Genomic DNA, 6,466 nt, shown 5'->3' with positions numbered 1-6,466 from the left:
GGCGCCAATTCGCAGAGCTCCCTGTCCGTCACTGAGCCCCGCCTCCCCAGCATGCTGGGGCTTGTCGTGCAGCTGGCCCCAAGCGCGCGGGGCAAGGCGGCCCTGCAGGGGTGAGCTTTCCTCTGAGAACCCGGGGCCTTAGCGACACGTAATCCAGTTTTCCGTCTCCTTGGTGCAGATGAAGAAACCGACGCCCATGGGCGAAAGGGACCTGCTCAAGTTCACTCAGTAAGTCAGGAGATAAGCCAGAATGCGTATCTGACTCCAGTCTCAATGTCTACCCCTTCACAAAACGGTAGCCTCCAGGGTAGTCCTCAGCAAAGCGTTGGCACCTTACTGAATCTGTTTTTCCATCTGAGAAATGGGCCAACGGAAAAATCAAACTTCCATTCTGGGGAAGTCGAGAACCGGGACTCCCTAGGAAGGGCAGTGCTTTGGCCTCATGTTCTGTGCTCTGACAGAGAGCTGCACTAGAGACAAGTTTATCCATGAACACATTGCTCTGTAAAGGAATGTTTTGCCTACTCAGCTGGGAGGCCGACAGCAGAGGCAGACTTGGGGAGTACACTCTGCAGCCCCTGTCCCTGCAGACTGAAGGTACCCGGGAACCCAAACCAAGTGTAGTTTTGCTCGGGTGAAGGTGGAGGAATCTTACCAGGTGGGAGGTGATCTGGCCTGAGATTTGAGGGAATCTGGGGCACTAGGCATCTGGCAAGGACGAGGTCTGATACAGGACTGGCTGGCCACGACCTGCAGTCCCTGAAGTAGTTTGGGGCCAATCACCTACTCTCCAAGGTGACTATACTGTACAGCTTAGGAGCACAAAGGAGTTTGAAGTAGGATGGACTTGGATTTGAAATTCCCCTTAGCTATGTGACCCTGCACAATGATAAAACAATAAACAAAAACAATGACTAACATCTTTGAACACTTGCTGTCTGGCTACAGCTGAGGACTTCAGGTGCATAGCTCACTAAATCCTCATAAGGACCTAATGAGATAAGGCAGCTGATGGTTAACCTACACCTGTTGTGTAACCTAGGTGGTTACACAAGGCCACATATACCTAAGTGTTGGAGCCCAAATTTGTACCCAATTCTATCTGAGAACCCACTCTCTTAACCTTGTTTACTCTTTCTCCCCATTTTCTAAATTTCTAATTGAAGTTTGCCATGAAGATAAGCCAAGATTATGGTAGTTTGCACTTAATGATAACTATATTTGAAAAATTGTAATTAGCAGGTAGGGGATAAGGGAGAGGTAATGCCAAATGATTTCTCACTTAGACCAGTTGGGGAGACTTTGCACCCGTTTAAAATTTTTTTTTTTCCTGAAAACCACAGTTATCAGCCCAAAGTATAAATTTAGGACTGTTCATAGTCTTACATATATACATATTATATATGTGTGTATATGTATCAATACAGACATACTGATGTTTCCCTAATTACAGAGGAGTGTTAAAAATACTCCTGGGGATCTAGCTCAAGCAAGTGTCTTGAAAAAAAAAAATCTCTCTTCTCCCTTAAAACAAAAATCAGTGTTTGACTCTTCTTTAATGTTTATTACCAGTTAAATGAATTATTATACCTCTCACAAAATCTTAGAGTAGAATAAGCATTCTAGGAAATGCACTCAATTTTTATCTTATAGCTTGACATATCCTGGCACAATATTAGAATTCCTCTTACACAGAGGCATTTAAAAAATAATCTTTGTGGAGTGCTTTAAACACTCTTTATTCAGCATTTTAATGTAACAGATTTTTATTTAACACTTAAATCACCTATATCAGTGGAACCACCTGAGGAGTTTACCTTGCCCACTGCCTAGACAGAGCTGATTCATCAAGACAGGGGAATTGCAATAGTTAAAGAGTAATTCACGCAGAGTCAGCTGTGCGGGAGACTGGAGTTTTATGATTACTCAAGTCATCTCCCTGAGCATTTGGGGAACAGAGATTTTAAGGATAACTTGGTGGGTTGGGGGAAGCCAGTGAGCCAGGAGCGCTGTTGGTCAGGGATGAAATCATAGGGAGTCGAAGCTGTCTCCTTGCAGTGAGTCAGTTCCTGAGTGGGGGGGCCACAAGATCAGATGAGTGAGTTTATTGATCTGGGTGGTGCCAGCTGATCCATCAAGTGCAGGGTCTGCAAAATATCTCAAGCACTGATCTCAGAAGCATTTTAGGGAGGCTCAGCATCTTGTAACCTCCAGCTGCATGACTCCTAAACCGCAATTTCTAATCTTGTGGCTAATGTTAGTCCTACAAAGGCAATCTAGTACCCAGGCAAGGAGGTCTGCTTTGGGATAGGGTTGTTACTGTCTTTGTTTAAACTATGAACTACAGACTAAATTTCTCCCAAAGTTAGTTCAGCCTATGCCCAGGAATGAACAAGGACAGCTTGGAAGTTAGAAGCAAGATGGAGTCAGTTAAGTTAGATCTCTTTTACTGTCTCAATCATAATTTTGCAAAGGCAGTTTCAGTCCATCACTTTGGGTTTTGTAACACCTTAATCTTAAAGTGTAGGGTATGAAGATGGGAAAAGGCTGTCGATTGCTCTGGGTTCTTCTTGCTGACAGGGGACGTAGTGGGAATGGGAGTCAACCCCAAGGTGAGAAGAGTGGGACCACTTTCAAGTGTCTGAGCGACTCATGCAGGTCTGGCTGGGCTTCTAAGGCTTGCATGGCAAAAACATTAGTACTCTCATCTATAGTTTTAGTACAGTATTTAGGTGAACAGCCTACTATAAGGTAAATAATGAGTCCTAGGATGAGGAGTACAATACTCAATTTTAAAAGCAAAGATTTGAAAGCATTAGTCTGGCGACTTCCAACCCACAAATAATTTAGGATTTAGTCAAAATTGTAGAAAAAACTCAAGGACAGCTAACAACAGCTAACAATAGGTTTCCTCTTGAAGCATAATTTCTCTCTCTCCAGACCCCATTTTTATTAAAAACAAATCATGATAGAACTGATTTGTTTACAGAAATGTACTTTAGTCTTACTATACTTGGCCTGATTATTTGCATAAAGTGCAGCAAGAATAATTATTTTTCACTTAGGGTCTTTTTTGTTTAAATTAGCTTTGATGGAACTCTGTTCCATGAGGAATCTCAGATAAGAGTTTTTAAAAGCCAAGCTCAGCCATGGGTTTGTATCCTCAAATACCTATGAGTTGGGTAAATTCCTCTCTTCTCAAGGTCCCAAAATAACTTGGGGTTCCTGGGCCTGTTAGAAAGTGACATTCTTTACTTACCACAGGTCAGGAACCTTGTACAGGGACTGTATGACAGAACCTTGTACAGGGACTATAGACAAGGTCTGAGGTTAGATTCCCCAGGGGGCTTTAATTGGCTCTATACATTAATTTTGATTCTTTGAAGGAAGCATGCCATTCCAGTAAAAGCCTTGGTAAAATAATCAATTTCTCCAGTTGTGTCCTGTTACAAGACAAAAACAGATTCTTACTGCACTTATGCAATTAAGTATACTGGCATAAATTGAGAATACTTACAAATAGTTTCCATATTCAGGAGAAATCAGGTAGAGAGAAACAAATATGCTCTAAATTTTTTTCATGGAAGTATTTTTTACTCATTTGTTAAAAGTTGCAAATAACTCTAAAGAAATATGCTATCTTGACTCTGAAAATGAGAGGATTAGCAATGCTTAACACATCAGCTATCTGTGAGAAGCCTAGAAGTTTCATTTTTTCCTCTATTCCAATAAAACAATTTTTAAAGTTATCTGAGACCTGCACTCAGAGTGTGATATCTGATTATAAACTGCCTTTTGAAAAGGACAAAAGCAAGACAAAATGTCTATGGATGACAAAAGTCTATAGCTACTATTAAAGCTGCAATTGACTAGGAATCTTGGTTACTTCTGTGGCATACAACACTTTTATATAACAATTATAATTATTAATAATGTACTCTAAATCATATCAGAATTATAGAAGTTTCCCATAATTTCTGGAACACATACTAATAACATATTTATACAAATATAGTCCAAAGAAAACCAAACACTATTCACTCTTCAATTTGAAAGTTTTTCCTCGATTCTAATATCACAGTCTCCAGAGTTTTTAATCAGAAACCTGCATTTAAGAGGGCCTGTTAAATTTTATAGCTGATTATAAAACCATCCGTTAAAGAGGACCAAAGCGAGACAACAATTGTATATGGATGACAAAAACATTTTAGGGCAGCCACACTTTTTTTTTTAATTTATTTTTTATTTTTTATTTTATTTTATTATTATTATACTTTAAGTTTTAGGGTACATGTGCACAATGTGCAGGTTAGTTACCTATGTATACATGTGCCATGCTGGTGTGCTGCACCCATTAACTCGTCATTTAGCATTAGGTATGTCTCCTAATGCTATCCCTCCCCTCTCCCTCCACCCCACAACAGTCCCCAGAGTGTGATGTTCCCCTTCCTGTGTCCATGTGTTCTCATTGTTCAATTCCCACCTATGAGTGAGAATATGCGGTGTTTGGTTTTTTGTTCTTACGATAGTTTACTGAGAATGATGATTTCCAATTTCATCCATGTCTCTACAAAGGACATGAACTCATCATTTTTTATGGCTGCATAGTATTCCATGGTGTATATGTGCCACATTTTCTTAATCCAGTCTATCATTGTTGGACATTTGGGTTGGTTCCAAGTCTTTGCTATTGTGAATAGTGCCACAGTAAACATACGTGTGAATGCGTCTTTATAGCAGCATGATTTATAGTCCTTTGGGTATATACCCAGTAATGGGATGGCTGGGTCAAATGGTATTTCTAGTTCTAGATCCCTGAGGAATTGCCACACTGACTTCCACAATGTTTGAACCAGTTTACAGTCCCACCAACAGTGTAAAAGTGTTGCTATTTCTCCACATCCTCTCCAGCACTTGTTGTTTCCTGCCTTTTTAATGATTGCCATTCTAACTGGTGTGAGATGGTATCTCATTGTGGTTTTGATTTGCATTTCTCTGATGGCCAGTGATGGTGAGCATTTTTTCATGTGTTTTTTGGCTGCATAAATGTCTTCTTTTGAGAAGTGTCTGCTCATGTCCTTCGTCCACTTTTTGATGGGGTTGTTTGTTTTTTTCTTGTAAATTTGTTTGAGTTCATTGTAGATTCTGGATATTAGCCCTTTGTCAGATAAGTAGGTTGCGAAAATTTTCTCCCATTTTGTAGGTTGCCTGTTCACTCTGATGGTAGTTTCTTTTGCTGTGCAGAAGCTCTTTAGTTTAATTAGATCCCATTTGTCAATTTTGGCTTTTGTTGCCATTGCTTTTGATGTTTTAGACATGAAGTCCTTGCCCATGCCTATGTCCTGAATGGTAATGCCTAGGTTTTCTTCTAGGGTTTTTATGGTTTTAGGTCTAACGTTTAAGTCTTTAATCCATCTTGAATTAATTTTTGTATAAGGTGTAAGGAAGGGATCCAGTTTCAGCTTTCTACATATGGCTAGCCAGTTTTCCCAGCACCATTTATTAAATAGGGAATCCTTTCCCCATTGCTTGTTATTCTCAGTTTTGTCAAAGATCAGATAGTTGTAGATATGCGGTGTTATTTCTGAGGGCTCTGTTCTGTTCCATTGATCTATATCTCTGTTTTGGTACCAGTACCATGCTGTTTTGGTTACTGTAGCCTTGTAGTATAGTTTGAAGTCAGGTAGCGTGATGCTTCCAGCTTTGTTCTTTTGGCTTAGGATTGACTTGGCAATGCAGGCTCTTTTTTGGTTCCATATGAACCTTAAAGTAGTTTTTTCCAATTCTATGAAGAAAGTCATTGGTAGCTTGATGGGGATGGCATTGAATCTGTAAATTACCTTGGGCAGTATGGCCATTTTCACGATATTAATTCTTCCTACCAATGAGCATGGAATGTTCTTCCATTTGTTTGTATCCTCTTTTATTTCATTGAGCAGTGGTTTGTAGTTCTCCTTGAAGAGGTCCTTCACGTCCCTTGTAAGTTGGATTCTTAGGTATTTTATTCACTTTGAAGCAATTGTGAATGGGAGTTCACTTATGATTTGGCTCTCCGTTTGTCTGTTATTGGTATATAAGAATGCTTGTGATTTTTGTACATTGATTTTGTATCCTGAGACTTTGCTGAAGTTGCTTATCAGCTTAAGGAGATTTTGGGCTGAGACAATGGGGTTTTCTAGATATACAATTATGTCATCTGCAACTAGGGGCAATTTGACTTCCTCTTTTCCTAATTGAATACCCTTTATTTCCTTCTCCTGCCTAATTGCCCTGGCCAGAACTTCCAACACTATGTTGAATAGGAGTGGTGAGAGAGGGCATCCCTGTCTTGTGCCAGTTTTCAAAGGGAATGCTTCCAGTTTTTGTCTATTCAGTATGATATTGGCTGTGGGTTTGTCATAGATAGCTCTTGTTATTTTCAAATACGTCCCATCAATACCTAATTTATTGAGAGTTTTTAGCATGA

At 39.9% G+C, this 6,466-nt stretch overlaps 1 protein-coding gene across 8 annotated transcripts in view, besides 1 other annotated feature; it reads left to right on the top strand.

The window, feature by feature from the left end:
* The window catches only part of ASTN2 (astrotactin 2), a 991,946-nt gene that overhangs the window by 727,764 nt on the left and 257,716 nt on the right, over positions 1–6,466 (top strand). For 4 of the 8 annotated variants that reach the window (NM_001184734.1, NM_198188.2, NM_198187.3 and 1 more), the window contains exon 1: positions 31–228. The exons of 3 other annotated variants lie outside the window; for them this stretch is intronic. Coding sequence is in view for 1 of the 5 variants with exons in the window: in NM_198186.3 (NP_937829.3) it covers positions 489–597 (109 nt within the window). In the remaining 4 variants the exon portion in view is untranslated. Of the gene's footprint in view, positions 1–30; positions 598–6,466 lie in introns of those variants that run through there. One more of the 8 variants, NM_198186.3, reaches the window with a different exon arrangement.
* Positions 3–322: an enhancer, noted in NCBI's record as "active region_28884". NCBI's record gives its function as "activates an Ori minimal core promoter by ATAC-STARR-seq in GM12878 lymphoblastoid cells {active_cell/tissue: GM12878}" and the evidence as "EXISTENCE:reporter gene assay evidence [ECO:0000049][PMID:35858748]".

This window comes from Homo sapiens, chromosome 9 (genome assembly GCF_000001405.40).
Source record: "Homo sapiens chromosome 9, GRCh38.p14 Primary Assembly".
NCBI classification, from domain to species: Eukaryota; Metazoa; Chordata; class Mammalia; order Primates; family Hominidae; genus Homo; species Homo sapiens.
Note: the sequence above shows the minus strand (reverse complement) of the source record. Positions and strands in the feature narration are given on the sequence as shown.